The sequence below is a fragment of the Homo sapiens genome, chromosome 11, assembly GCF_000001405.40.
Source record: "Homo sapiens chromosome 11, GRCh38.p14 Primary Assembly".
NCBI classification, from domain to species: Eukaryota; Metazoa; Chordata; class Mammalia; order Primates; family Hominidae; genus Homo; species Homo sapiens.
Genome location: NC_000011.10, coordinates 74,920,594 through 74,935,874, shown reverse-complemented (window position 1 = coordinate 74,935,874; position 15,281 = coordinate 74,920,594). Strand labels below are relative to the sequence as shown.

General features: G+C 42.5%; 1 protein-coding gene and 1 long non-coding RNA gene across 70 annotated transcripts in view, besides 1 other annotated feature; one reads left to right on the top strand and one right to left on the bottom strand.

Annotated features, from left to right (window-relative positions):
• The window catches only part of XRRA1 (X-ray radiation resistance associated 1), a 108,182-nt gene that overhangs the window by 13,217 nt on the left and 79,684 nt on the right, over positions 1-15,281 (top strand). For 31 of the 69 annotated variants that reach the window (NR_165436.1, NR_165435.1, XM_047426393.1 and 28 more), the window contains 4 exons: positions 2,003-2,074; positions 5,503-5,575; positions 8,387-8,484; positions 14,528-14,661. The exons of 2 other annotated variants lie outside the window; for them this stretch is intronic. Coding sequence is in view for 26 of the 67 variants with exons in the window: in NM_001378158.1 (NP_001365087.1) it covers positions 2,003-2,074; positions 5,503-5,575; positions 8,387-8,484; positions 14,528-14,661 (377 nt within the window). In the remaining 41 variants the exon portion in view is untranslated. Of the gene's footprint in view, positions 1-2,002; positions 2,075-5,502; positions 5,576-8,386; positions 8,485-14,527; positions 14,662-15,281 lie in introns of those variants that run through there. 36 more of the 69 variants (XM_047426406.1, XM_047426399.1, XM_047426408.1 and 33 more) reach the window with 6 other exon arrangements.
• On the bottom strand, positions 430-4,754 carry LOC107984352 (uncharacterized). Its single transcript, XR_001748295.2, has 3 exons — positions 2,130-4,754; positions 1,392-1,483; positions 430-654 (listed from the first exon to the last, which is right to left on the bottom strand). It is a non-coding gene; the product is annotated as an uncharacterized LOC107984352 (long non-coding RNA).
• Positions 2,170-2,645: a silencer, noted in NCBI's record as "fragment chr11:74644275-74644750 (GRCh37/hg19 assembly coordinates)". NCBI's record gives its function as "represses an EF-1alpha promoter that drives an FKBP-Casp9 reporter gene in an ReSE screen in phorbol 12-myristate 13-acetate-treated (for megakaryocytic differentiation) K562 erythroleukemia cells {active_cell/tissue: K562(+PMA)}" and the evidence as "EXISTENCE:reporter gene assay evidence [ECO:0000049][PMID:32094911]".

The following is a 15,281-nucleotide window of genomic DNA, read 5'->3' as shown; positions in this document are numbered from 1 at the left end:
CAAATACTTATACATTCCCATATTCAATAAATACAGCTTGTTACCCGTCTTGCCACCGTGGGAGACAGGAGCAACAAGGATGTTTTTCAGAATCATGGGGTATCCACTCTGCCTATTGGATAGTTCCACTTGAATGTTTCATTGACAGTTGAATTACAGCACCAATGCTCCTACTCCAAATCCCAAAACAGACCTCTTTTTCCAGTATCTACTTTACTCTCTCTGTTGGCACTACCATCTACCCAGTTGCCAAGCCAGTACCTGAGGTTATCCTTGACATTTGCCTCTCCCACACTGTCCCCACCCCAACTTTTACCAAGTCCTGGCACTTTTACAAGATAGTTGTCAAATCTGTCTTCTCATCTCGACTGCCATGACCCTTATCTGGGCCACCATCATCTCTTATTGGACTAATTCAGAAACTTTCTATATGTTGTAAACTAATTAGGATGCTTTTATTTCACATAAAAATAAGCCAGAGGCATTGTTTAGGGTAGATTAATTTACAGGCTTAATGACGTCTTGCAAGGCCTGTGTTCCTTCTGTCTTTGTGCTGTGCCACTTTACATGTTATCTTGTCCTCTTGGGCTGATTGCCTTCATGATCCTGAGATGGCTGCAGCAATTGTGGTCATCACATACAGAATATAACATCCTGAGGTAGAGAAGGGATTGTTACTGACTAATGTCTTTTCAGAAGTAAGAAAATGCTTTCCAAAACCGGTCCCCCTCCTCAACTCCAAGCAGCCAGTATCTCATTATCCAGACCTATATAACATGCCCGAACAGTCATGAGTTAGGGGAATGAGACCTCCATGATTGGTTTACACAGATCACGACTTATTGCTTGGAGCTGTGGCTTAAGAACATTCCATTTGGAGAAATGTGAATAACATTGGTGTTCTTTAACAAGGAGGAGTAGTGGTTATTAGGAAAGTAATTAACCAATCTGGTACATTCGTCTTTCCCCTTCCTTTCCTGTCTTCTCATCTATGTGATGTACTCTGTCTGATATGTCTATGTGTATCCGACATTACAATTTTTATAAAATTACTATCAGCCCCCTGCTAAAAATCTGCTTTCTATTTGTCGTAGGATAAAATCCACACTCCTTTATAGAGCCAGCGTGGACTTATATGATCTAATGGCCGTCTCACTAACCTTATCTTGTTTTTCATCCTCTCAGAAGCACCTTGCTTTTTCCTGCCTTGGTAGACTTCATAATCCCTACTACCCACTTTCATGAGACCTATTTAGCTCTTAGGTTTCTGAAATATTACTTCCTCAAGTAAGTATTTCCTCATTCAGACTGAGGTTAGGACCTCCTGTTATATGTCTCATAGCATCTTAAATTTCTCCTTTAAAATATTTATCACATTTATAAATACGTACTTGCTACTTGGCTTCCCATGACACTGTAAGCTCTATGAGGTTATGGAATGTCTCTGCTTTTTCTTCATTGTCTTCCCAATGCCTTTCAGTGCCTAAACATGGTGGGTACCATAAATAAATGATTAACAAAAAAAGAATGAGGTTTGATTAAACATAAATGGAAGCTCCAAAGCTAAAATTTACCTCTAACTTTTAAATTATGTCGGGTGACATATGGCAGTCAAAAGTGCATAGAGTCTAGTGATTACAGATTTGGATTAGTAAGATCTGTCACTTACTAACTGTGGGACCTTTGGCAAGGCACATAACTTCTCTTAACCTTGTTTTTCTCATTAAAAAGAGGAGATAATCTTACTTTATAATCAAAGGGCTTAATTAGGATTAGAAGAAAGTTTGTTAATGTATTCAGCAAAGCGTATGGCCCAATTTAGTGTTTGGTAAATATTTGGCGAATGAATGGATGAATAATGAATGAATGAATGAATGAATGAATGAACAAGCAAACAAATTATGACAAGTATATGATTGCCCAACAAGAGAAGGCTGAGTGGTAATAGATTAATTAAACTTTGTAGGGGCCTTAAGAGACAACTCTTTGTATTATGTTCCAGCTGAAGCACCACTGTGTGAGGAAGCCATCAGATCTGTGCACCATTAATGTGAGTGGCCTGAAGTTCTCCAAGGTGAGGTCAGCCAGCAAAGATGTGATTGGGGTGAGCCAGACTTGAGGTGGCGCACCTGGCTGTTGTGGTTTGTCTCTTGCACCTCCAGAGTCCCTAGGGACTGGAAATCTGGTCACGAAGAAGGAGGGAGAGGAGAGTCAGACAAGGATTTATTGGGTTGAAACAATATTCAGACACAAACTTTTGCTACAAATTTTATATTGCCCTTGTCCTATTTGATATGAATTAAAGAAAATTGCCTTATGGGCCAGGCGTGGTGGCTCAGGGCTGTAATCCCAGCACTTTGGGAGGCCGAGGTGGGTGGATCACAAGGTCAGGAGCTCAAGACCAGCCTGGCCAAGATGGTGAAACTCCATCTCTACTAAAAATACAAAAAATCAGCCAAGCATGGTAGCAGGCACCTGTAATCCCAGCTACTTGGGAGGCTGAGGCAGAGAATTGCTTGAACCCCTGAGGCAGAGGTTGCAGTGAGCCAAGATCGTGCCAGTGCACTCCAGCCTGGGTGACAGTGAGACTCTGTCACCAAAAAAAAAAAGAAAAGAAAAGAAAATTGCCTTATGAAACTGGTTTTGAATTTGCCATGTAATTTTGTGGGTACATAATTCATTGTGTGACACTGAGTTCCCATCACAAGACCCTACAAGAGATATTTCTTAAGTTTCAATGCCAGCAATTGTAATGGTTTTCCCAAGAAGCTGGTTCGTTCCTAACTTACAGGTGCTGTGACTCATGCAATGAATCATGTTTCTTTCTTTGTATTGGCTTATAGGCAGCTTGGAGCCATATTTGTGACCCACCATTAGCCAGTGTATATACAGGATATTATAACATACATCTTTGGTATGTTGGCTTTCGTGGCATACCAAGAGAGATTACTTGTATAAACCATAGAGTAGAGGCTCTAACCCACAGGATGGCCAAGTTTGTGGTAAAGCAGACTGCTCCTTTAACAGGGTTCTGCTTCACTTCATTTAGCACTCATGTTTTCAGAATTGAGTTACTTAGGGACAGGTTAACCTTAGAAATATATTCATCTTGTGGCTGAGAGGCCCTCCATTCTAGGCCAGCACATGGTCCCAGAGATTATAATATATAGTTCACATATAACGGTGAGACAAAGTCATAGAAGATTTCAGAGGTCTCTTTATCAATTCACCTTTTGAGGGCTACAACATGGCTGGTCAAAGCTCAGTCCCCTCATTGGATACCGTATGTTCTTCTTTTACTTATTCACTCACGTGCTCACCAAACATTACCGAGGCCTGGTGTGTCTCTGTGCTATTTGCTGGAGGGTACAGAGGTGGCTCAGACACTGCCTGCCCTCTGGAGCATATAGTCCAGTAGAGAGGGAGGAGGCTGGGCTTAGATGGATATGGAGTTAGACAGGACTAGCTAATGCAGTCAATGAGGGAAACACGAGGGTGCGAAATATGACCTCAGAGGACAGGCCCCTGACTCAGCCTTACACAGGAAACACACCCTGGAGAGGGTGGTAGCTTAGCTGAGACCCACGGGATGAGTGGATGCTTGCTAGCTTTGTGGTTAAACCATAAAGGAAAATATCTATGAAATTTAATTAAAAATATCTATCTAACAAAAGTTACCACAAACAAAGGTAAAAGATAAGCTGAGACTGGGAGAAGATATTAGCAAGTAATATAACCAAAAAGTATTGGGATCCAGAATGTGTCAAGAGCTCCTACAAAACAATAGGAAGAAAGAGAAACCCAGTAGAAAAATAGACAACAGATAAATATGTTAGTATACAGAAGAGGAACTTGAAAGGCCAATAAATATAGAAAAAGATATTCAGCCTCATAAATAATCAGGAAAATGCAGTGCCATTTTACAATAATCAGACTGGCAAAAATTAGTTTTATAATGCCAATTGCAAGGATTTAAAGAAATAGGACTTCTCATACACTGCAGGTAGGACTGTAAATTGTTTTAACTACTTTGGAGAACAATGTGCTACCATCTCATAAAGCTGTGTATTCCCCACAGCTTGATAGGAGCATATCATTAAAGAAACTCTTATGAATAGGAGGTGTGTATAAGAATATTAATTACATAATTGTTTGTAATAAAATTTAGAAACAGACTAAATGAGAATGAATAAACTTGCAATATATTCAAACAATGGAATACTATACAGGAATTAAAATGGTTGAACTAGGGCTAGGCGTGGTGGCTCATGCCTGTAATCCTAGCACTTTGGGAGGCTGAGGTAGGAGGATCACTTGAGGTCAGGAGTTTGAGACTAGCCTGGACAACATGGTGAAACCTTGTCCCTACTAAAAATAAAAAAATTAACTGGGCATGGTGGCAGACACCTGTAATCCCACCTACTCAGGAGGCTGAGGCAGGAGAATCACTTGAACCCAGAAGGTGGAGGTTGCGGTGAGCCAAGATTGTGCCATTGCACTCCAGCCTGAGTGACAGAGCGAGACTTTGTCTCAAAAAAAAAAAAAAAATTGAACTAGAACTACAACTGTCAACATATGTAAATTTCAAAAGCAGCATATATCGACACAGGTAATTCTCAAAAACAGTGTTGAGTGAAAAGGCAGGTTGCAGAATGATACCTAAAATATTGTTGCATTTAACGTAAAGTTTTACTACCTGTATCTAGCATTATATATAGTTGATACACACACACACACACACACGTATAAGCATAAAAAAAGATATGGGAGCTGGGTGCAGTGGCTCACGCCTGTAATCCTAGCACTTTGGGAGGCTGAGGCAGGCGGATTACTTGAGCGCAGCAGTTCGAGACCAGCCTGGGCATCATGGCAAAACCCCATCTCAGCTAAAAATACAAAAAAATTAGCCAGTCTTGGTGGCGTGTGCCTGCAGTCCTAGATACTCAAGAGGCTGAGGTGGAAGGATCACCCGAGCTGGGGAAGTTGAGGCTGCAGTGAGCCAAGATTGTGTCACTGCACTCCAATCTGGGCAATGGAAGTGAGACCCTGTCTCAAAAACAAACAAACAAACACACAAAAACTATTGAGTATGGGAATGATAGTCTCCAATTCAGGATAGCTGTTATGGGATTAGTGAGGGGATACATGGACAGGGGTGGTAATGGTGGTGGTTCACCCTATATAATATTTTCTTTAAGGAAATTTATTTAAAGCAAAGACAGCAAAATATTCAGCTGTATTAAATACTTACCTCTGGATAGTGGTTATATGGGTCTTCAGAGTGTCATTCCGTATACTTTTCTGTACATTTGAAATGTTTCATAGTGGAAAAAAAGCAGGAAAACCCTTACAGCACTCAAGTGTCTGCTCCTGTGCTAGGGATGTCCCTTATTCCTTTAGGTCTTTGTTTCTTCTGACAGTGGCCCTGAAGCTTCAGCAAGGCTTCTAGGCAGGGAACTAATCTTGTGGATTTTTTTTTTTTTCTGAAATGCTTTCCTACAGGCCAAGGAAAATGACTTCAAGCATTTTCATTCTGTGATTTATATCAATGCCTCAGAAAACCTGCTGCCTCTAGGTAAGCTTTTTCTTTCTTGAAAGCTCTCTTCCTCCTCTTAGCCAGCACAGCCATTCACGTGTGTTAGGATTTGTCTGTCCAACCATCTATGATTGGCCACACATCTCTTTTTTGGAGTACAATAGGCTGGGTGCTGGAGAGCACAAAGACCTCGATTCCAGTCCTGCTCTGGCGCTACCTACTTAGAACATTTTTCTGTGATCTTCTACTTCTCTATCTGTCAATGGAGATAATTCCCTTCTTTTTTTCCTCCCCTTGCAGGATACCTTGCAGGCTCATATGAGATGGGTGTATAAAAATGTTTCTAAGCCTGTAAAGTACTCCTGTAGGAGCATAAAGCCTTCTTATTCAGCAAGTCCACAGCGACCCCTGCTGGATATTAGGACTGTGTGAATACTTGGCTTTTAGAAATGAGTGCATACAGTCCTGCTCTGGTGAGCTCATGGTTTGGTGAGAGAGATGGACTCAGATACAGATAGTTAGGTCAGGATGAGGGGAGAGCAGTGAAAGAGAGAATCAGGAAATACTATGCAAGCATATACGTGGGACTTCAAGCCAGGCCAGAGTGTCAGGAGGAACTGAGAAGAGGAGCACCTAAGCTGAGACCAGAAAAATGAATAGGAGTGATTCAGGAACTAGAAGGTAAGAAGGCATTTCCGGCTGCTGGAGCAGATGTGGAATGGCATTGTCTGATCAGGAAGACTGAAGAGGTTTTGTATGCTTGCAAGGGAAGCATGTGGGGGACAATTGAAACTAGACAGATTGGCAGCGACTGGATTATCAAGGACCGGGAGTGAATTGGACTTAATGCTGCAGGCAAAAGAGAGTCTTGGAAGGGTTTTAAATAGAGAAGCTCAGTGGCAGCTGTGAGGAGAGTGGATTATAAGAGAAGAAGAAGGTGGAGGCCAGGAAACCTGGGAGATTATTTCAGGTTTTCAGGGGAGGGGAGATGAGGCCTGAGCCAGGATTGTGACAAGAAGGGTGCAGAGGATTGAGAGAGAGAGAGACAGACAGAGATTTAGGAGGAGTAGAAACCACAGGACTTGGTAGTTGATAGACTGATAGGGATGTAGGGAGAGGGAGGAATCAAGGGGCATTTCATTGAGATAGGGCACATTAGAGAAAAGGCAAGTCAGAGGGAAATAGGATAAGTTCAGTTTTGTTGCATTGAGTTTGAAGATTGTTTTCAAAGAAGCATATGATGAGGTCCCTGCCCTTTAGGAGACAGGGTGGTCTGTCAGGAGCTTGGGCTGGAAATACAAAGGCCAATAGGTATATGAAAAGGTGTTCAACCTCACTAATAATTACAGTGGATCAAGATACTGTTTTCTGCCTGTCAAATATTGGCAGGAGTGAAAAGGGCTGATGACAGCCAGCATTGGTAGGGAGATGGATACTCTTGCATTGAACTGTGGAAGTATAGTCATTGGTGTAGCATCTTGGAGGTAATTTGGTAATGTTTCTTAAAATTTAAAGTAGTCATTGCCTTTAATCTAGTAGCTTTACTTCCAGGAAATTATTCTATAGTAACACACTCGTACAAGGCTGTTCATTGGAAACATCCAGAAATATTCACAAAGCAGCCTTTATTAGGTTCTACTGAACATTCTGACTTACAAGACTACCATATTTAACATCAGGTTCACTTAGAAGGCTCTAAGTAATTCCACACAGAATGCCAGTACAACAGCATCAGGAGTTTCTCTTCAATGGAGTTCCCAAAGCCATCCATGAGGCATTCTTTGTGCCCCTCCATCTGGCCCCCAGTGTCAGCTCAGGTACAAGACAGTGAGACTGTCATTGGGTGGATGCAAAAGCCACCCTGGCTTAGAAATCTCATTCCTCACAGGAGCCAATATACATTGTAACACGTATAGGCATAGCTCCTAGAGTTTCTGCAAAGGATATATCCAATTATAGGAATCACTACACACAGGGAAGCCCAAAATTATGGTGCCCCCTTCAGGTGTTTATCATTCATTTATAGTTTCTCCTAGCCCAGATGTAATTTGCCAACCTAGGGTGATTTTTACCGCAAGTGATACTGCCTGGAAATGCAGTTACTGTATCATTGGTTTCAGGTTACCAGAGGAACAAGGCTAGAAAAAGTTCAGTTCTCATTCAAAGAGAGAAACATTTATTCATATAGTTTCTTACCTTTTATTCATATAGCCTAAAGGCTACCAATGGGGAAATGGATTAGTAAACTAGGATATATCTATACTGTAGAACATCAGAAGACATTAGGCATATCTATATGTTTTGACATGGAATAATCTTTAAGTTACATTGTTAAGGGAAAAAGCAAGTCAGTACAGTGTGTACAGTATGACTCTATTTTTGTTAAAAGAGGTATGTATTTTGATATATACATGAGAAAAAGTTGAGTGCTATATATGGAACTTTTAATACTTGTCTCTGGATGTTGGGATTAAACAGAACTTTTTATTTTTCTGTGATGTTTGACTGTTTTTCTTAGTTGTGTTTTAATTTTTGTAATCAGGATTAATAAAGATAATTTTTAAAATGGGCTTTGCTGTTGAGCAGACTTAGATTCAATTCTTGGCTCTTTCACTTACCAGCAATTCCATTCTGGCAAATCACTTAGCTTGGCTGAGCCTTAGTCAGCCATAGAATGGAAGTAGTAATCCCTATTTTTCTGGGTTGTTAGAGATTTAGAGGCCATGTATGTAAAGTACCTTATACAGTGCCTGGCCTAACCCAGTAGGGACACAGTAAATGGTAATTATTAATATCTTTCTCTTAAGTCCTTTACAAGCTGCAGACTCTCTCTTTCTCTTCCCCATGTAGAGGCATTTCACACGTTTCCAGCCCTAAAGGAACTGGATCTCGCATTTAATGGCATCAAAACTATCTACGTGAAATATGGAGACTTTAAGTTATTAGAAGTAAGTTGGAGGTAGGGAGTTTTTGGTGCCCACCAAGTTCCCCTGTAAGGAATGAGCATAGAGCTTTACTGATTATAACTGTTGGGAAGGGGCTTGCTGGGCCTGTACAGCCAGGCCCTTGCTTCATTGCTGGCCTCCAGGGAGGGTGGGGGTGGGGGTTGTAAGGGTAGTTACAGTGATGGAGATAGTGGTAATGGTAGAAGTGGCAGCAAATAGTTGATACCAAAGACTTAACCATGGTGCATGGTCCTGGAAAATAAATGCCAAAGGTCATGTCCAAGGGAGTCTGTGCAGAAAAGTGAGTTTTAAAACAGAGTATTGAAGGAGGGAGAATTTTGAGGGGAGATCTGGATCTAGTGGGGATTGAGGAGCCATGGAGCTTAAGAGCTAGGTGCAGCAGATTGGATCGGCTGAACTAGAGACATTATAGACTGATTCCAGAGACTCATCCTGGTCTAAGTGAGCTGAATCAGTCTCGGTGGCTGGGATAGAGCAGGCTATAGGCCTAGTCCATAACCTCGGAGATGAGTATGAATAGGGATCCTTTGGGATCAGCAGCAGAGTCTTGAACATTTGTACATTCACAGCTGTTCTTCAAACCGCAAATTAGAAAATACAGAAAATTTTGTTTGCATTCTTGGTTTTCTCCTAAATTTTCCCATAGTCATGCATTTTCTGCACATGTCCTTATAGTTCAAGTTGATTACTTATTTAGCTTTCATGAAGATTTGTGGGCCACTTTTTACAAAGGAACAAAGCTTTTGTCACTACCTGAGAGTCACGGCAGTAGTAAAGGACAACATATGTGGAGAGTAAAGGACAACAGAGGTGGAGCCACGTGTGTGGGCTGGGCATCTGACCACGCTCACTCACTGAGTAATAGACTCTTCTCCACATCCTGGAGTAGAAGTGTTTCAGAGTCAAATTTCAGTAAAATGTGTGCGTGTCATGAACCTTGAGGTCAACCCCAAAAAGCTGTTAACTTAAATGATTTCATCTGCAAACATCAAGGGTCAGCCATTCTTCACAAAAGCCTCACTTAACCTGGTCTTGTCAGTGAGGGGGACCTTCTACAAGAGTGAGTTTTTCAGAGTTGATGGCCTTCATATGCCAAAGCTTTAAAAGGTTTTAACCTCTTGGGATGGCCACCTTCCTAATTGGATTATATATCTTTGCATTTTTAAAGCATATTCTGCTGACTGTAATGGAACCTTCTCTCCATGGTCTCAAGTCATATTGAAGATAACAGTAATTTTCTATGATTTGAGACAAAAGTAGTCCTCACACTTGTCTAGGAAGCAAAGCTCTTGAAAGTTGAATAAAATAGAGAGAAAGTAAGTTTACAACAACTGATGCATTTTTTTTCTGTGTTTATAAATATTTAACAGTAGATTTTGGAATAGACAGCAGGAAACAGGTTTCAGATGGTCTAGAGATACAGGGAGCCATGTCCCTGACCTTTGAGCCTGGGAGCTTCTTAAGAACTTGCATTTATTTGTTCTTTTACTTTTTCAGAGAGTAGTCATTGAGCTCCTGTGTTGTGCGTTGTACCATGCATCTTGTCTTCTTCCCCTACCATTTCAAACCCCTGTTTCAAGTACCAGTGGGCTGAAGGGAGGAGACATGACTATAGGCTCTGACCCCACAACTGACTAGCTTGGATCTAGTGATTGATCATGAGTGACTTTTTTGGAGGCCTTACTTTACTTTATAGTGTGATCGCATCTGATGAAGATGATTTATCCAGCAGACCTACCCTTACGAAAGGGTATTTACGTAAGAGAACAGACCAAAGTTAAGATGCAGAATATAAATGAAAACAGGAAATCTCTTGCCCAGTCATCTGTTTTCATCTATCTGTGATTTGCAAGGGCTCCCTAAGAAGAAGTATAAACCTGTCAAATATCCTGAATTTGCAGCTCACAGTAATGTAATATTTTGATGTGTAATAAAACTTGATGTGACTCAGCAGATGTAGTAGCCAGGTTAGGAATCTTCTGTTCTTGTTTGCCAAAAAGGCTGCCCCAGGAGGAAAAGCCCAGAGTAGAATAATTCTTCAGGAGTCAATTTAGAAAAACTTAACTTTGCCATGGTTTGATTCTCGGATTACAGATCTGAAGAAGGTTCAGCTGGAGCCCTGCCCTGGCAGTCAGAAGACCTTTTGTCTTGGTTTTGCCAGTACTTTGCCATGCCTACCTGGCCAAACAACGTACCCTCTCTGGGACATTTCCCCTCTGTAAATTCTGGGTCAGCTCTGAAATTCTGTAGCCTGTGATTCTAAGGCTATTCATTTCTTTAAATTGCCCTTAATTCTATAGAAAGCAAATTCGGATCCTACATTAAATAGCCAAAGCAGCTAGAATGAGGTCAGCAAACTTTTTCTGTACAGCAGGCCTAATATTTTAGGCTTTGTGGTTCATATGGTCATAACTAATCATAGCTAGTCAGCTCTGCTGTTGTATAATGGAAAACAGCCATAGACAATATGTAAACAAATGAGAAATGAGCATGGCTGTGTTCCAATAAAACTTTGTTTATTTTAATTAATTAATTTATTTTTTGAGACAGTCTCCCTCTGTCACCCAGGCAGGAGTAAGTGGCACAATCTCAGCTTATTGCAACCTCCGCCTCCTGGGTTCAAGCGATTCTCATGCCTCAGCCTCCCAAGTAGCTGGGACTATGAGTGTGCACCACCACACCCAGCTAATTTTTGTATTTTTGGTAGAGAAGGGTTTCACCTTGTTGGCCAGGCTAGTCTCGAACTCCTGGCCTCAAGTGATCTGCCCACCTCAACCTCCCAAAAAGCTGGGATTACAGGCGTGAGCCACCACGCCCAGCCTAAAACTTCATGACACTGAAATCTGAACTTCACATAATTTGCACATGAAACACACTCTTATTCTTTTTTTTTTTTTTTGAGACGGAGTTTCGCTCTGTCGCCCAGGCTGGAGTGCAGTGGCGCGATCTCGACTCACTGCAAGCTCCGCCTCCCGGGTTCACGCCATTCTCCTGCCTCAGCCTCCCGTGTAGCTGGGGCTACAGGTGCATGCCACCATGCCCGGCTAATTTTTGTATTTTTAGTAGAGACGGGGTTTCACCGTGTTAGCCAGGATGGTCTCGATCTCCTGACCTCGTGATCTGCCCGTCTCGGCCTCCCAAAGTGCTGGGATTACAGGCGTGAGCCACCGCGCCCGGCCCACTCTTACTCTTTTTTTTTATTTTTTTCAACCATTTAAAAATGTAAAAATTGGCTGGGCAGGGTGGCTCACACCTGTAATCCCAGCACTTTGGGAGGCCAGGATGGGAGGATCGCTTGAGCCCAGAGGTTCAAGACCAGCCTGGGAACAAAATGAGACCGTGTCTCTACAAAAATAAAAAAAATTAGCATGGTGGTGCGTGCCTGTGGACCCACAGGAGGCTGAGGCAGGAGGATCACTTGAGCCCAGCAGCTTGAGGCTTCAGTGAGCCATGTTCACACCACTGCCCTCTAGCCATGTTCATACCAATGGGTAACAGAATGAGACCCTGTCTCAAAAAGAAAAAAGCAAAAATTATTCTTAGCTCCTGGGTTACACAAAATAGCAGTAGGTCAGCTTCTGAGCTAGAACCCTAATGAAACAGCTCCGTATGGCTGGAATAGAGACTGAGACACAGTAGAGTGTAGTGATATGTGAACCTGGAGGGGTAGCAGAAAAGAGACTGGGGAGAACCTTGGAAACTTTGCTGAGGAGTTTAAACCTTAAGGAGAATAGGGATCCATTGAAGGGTTTTAAGCTAAGTGGTAGGGTCAGAACTGCATTTTAGAAAAACCATTCTGGCTTCTGTATAAAAAATAGATTAGAGAGAACAAGCATGAGAGATATTAAGGAGGTAGATAGAATCCATAGGCTGACTGTTCACACATGAGTATGAGGGGAGAATGTTCCCCACTTTTCCCTGTGCTTATCTCAGGCACCTTTCCAGGTCTTCCTCCTGTAGGCTTCTCTGTTTGCTCCAGCCAAGTGGGATTGCCTCATTGTCTGAACCCTCAAACCTTGGAATTTGCTGATGGTGGCATGAACTTGGAGCTTCTGTAGTACTTGGCTAGTCCTATCAAGCCATTTCTTATGCCAGGGACTTCAGTCATACCCAAACTATTCATGGTTCTCAGAACAAGAAAGGCTGCCTCCTGCCTCCTGGCTTCTATACATGCCACTTTCTGCCCTGAATGTCTCTTTGCCCTTAACAATTTGGTGAATACCTACTGGTCTCTGAGGACAGCTCACATGTTACCTACCCTGTGAAGCCTGTCCTGATCCCCTGGTAGACCTGACCATATCCTTCCTTTGTGCCCTGATTGGTCTGTCTTCAGACATCTATCCCAGCAGCATTGCTACATAATGAACATATACATGTATTTAGCTGAGTAGGCTGGGAGCTCCTAAAGGGCAGGGACAGGTACAAAGTAAGCCTTATACATAGGGTTGAGGAATGAAATGATGATGATGATGATGACAGCCAACATTAAGCATTTACTGTATACTAGACTCCAGTATAAAGGCTTTATCTACATAAGAACCACTTATTTCTACTTTACAGATAAGGAAACCCAGATTAAGTAATTTGCCTAATATCACATGGTTAGTCAGGACTTAAACACCCAGGTCTGCAGAGCTATCAATTATTACAGCAGAGTCAGACCAAACCCAGTCCTTCTCTGAGGGTAACCTGTAGCGTGTATATGTCTGACTATGTAATACTGATGTGGCTGACCAAAGACTTGCTCCTGTACCAATTGAATAAGTTGCTGAAACTGACCCCATTCAATAGACTTCAATGTATGTTGAGGAGGGGGGCACAGGGAAGCACATAAGAAATAGGGGTGATGGAAGGGAGCCAACTTGTATATATAGTGTCTATGGAGGCTTAGGAGAAGGAGAACAAATATTGGACAGATGTCATTTATCCTGATTGTCTTTGTCTCTGCAGAGAAACACGGTTTTCTGACTGACCCCTTGGCCCCTTGACCCCAGTCAACTATGTCATGAATCCAGAAGGCCAGTTAGAAGGTGGTTGACAATAGGGTGACAATTTGGGGTTATTGTCCTCATAAGCCAGTTTATTTCTTTTGTCTTTTTTTTTTTTTTTTTTTTTTGAGGCAGAGTCTTGCTCTGTTGCCCAGGCTGGAGTGCAGTGGTGTGATCTCAGCTCACTGCAACCTCTGCCTCCCAGGTTCACACGATTCTCCTGCCTCAGCCTCCTGAGTAGCTGGCACTACAGGCGTGTGCCACCATGCCTGGCTAATTTTTTGTATTTTTAGTAGAGATGGGGTTTCACCGTGTTAGCCAGGATAGTCTTAATCTCCTGACCTCATGATCTGCCCACCTCTGCCTCCCAAAGTGCTGGGATTACAGGCGTGAGCCACTGAAGCCAGTTTATTCAGCTCATTTTTTCTGTGCACCTACTTTGTGCCAGGTCTTATGCTAACTTACAAGGATACAGTGTTACAGTGGCATGGCACTTGACCCCACAGTCTTCCAAGTACCAGTTTATGATCTAGTCCACCACTGTGTGCCAAGCACTGTGCTAGGCATATACATATGCCAGATACCTAGCCGACTTTGATAAGTACCCTGAAAGCAGTTTAGATAAAGCAGTCAAAGTTAGGGGAGGTAGAGATTCCATCTGTCTGGGGAATTGAGAAGGTTTTACAAGGAGGCAGCTTTTGAGCTGTCTTTTGGGGGCTTGGATTAGGATACATGGAAGAATGGCATTCCCATTTAAGCAAAAAGCACAAGCAAAGATCTATAGGTGGATGAGGCAAACAGCGGGGAGGAGTCTATTTGCCTAGCACTACAGGATAAACAAAGATTTGTAGTGGCAACTAAGGCTAGAAAACCAGTTGGGTACTGACTCTAGTAGACCTTGAATATTAATCTGGAGATCCAGGAGGGTTTTGTCCTGTGGGCGATGGGGCACTCTAGAAAGTAGCTCCCACATCATATATGAGCATTGTTGTCACACAGAGTGCTTACCTTCCCCATCTTTCATCTTTGCATGGCAGTTCTTGGACCTTTCCTTCAACAGCCTGACTGTGGAGGCCATCTGTGATTTGGGGATTCTGCCACACCTCCGTGTCCTGCTCCTCACAGGCAATGGCCTTACCTCCCTGCCGCCCAATTTGGCCGTCGCAGAACAGTAAGTTCTACCTCCTGGAGTCCATTCTGTGTTTTTGTGTACAAATATCCAAGGAAATAGCCCATAGCAGCTTGAAGTGCCATAAAGATAGGCTGTAAGTGCTCAAAGCAGGGATAATGGCACCTACTGAAGCTCCCAGAAAGGCCTCAGACACACGCCCCCAATTTCCTGTGTGCTGTTAGGAGAGATCCAGGTGTTTGGCAAGCCACTTTCCCTGCCTCTGACTGGTCATCTGTAAACTGTCTTGCCAGACAATTCTCCTTCATGAGCCCCCTGTGTCAGCTCAGTAAGTCTGTTCCCTGGTCTCTAGATAACCTTTGTACCTTCCCACTCTGCACCTTTGCTGAGGCCATTCCTCTGGCTGGTCCTTCCTCTTAATAGTAATAAAAACACATATGTAGTACTTACAATGTGCCAGACAGTATTCTCGGCATTATGTATGTTAACTCATTAAATCCTCATAACAGCTCTGTGAGGTAGGTCTCCTATTATTATCCACATTTTTTAGATGAGGAAATAAGTACAGACATTTAAGTAACTTGCCCAAAGTTGCAAAGCTAGTTGGTAACAGATCCAGGATTTGAATCAAGTCTATCAGACTCCAGAGACCATACTCATGA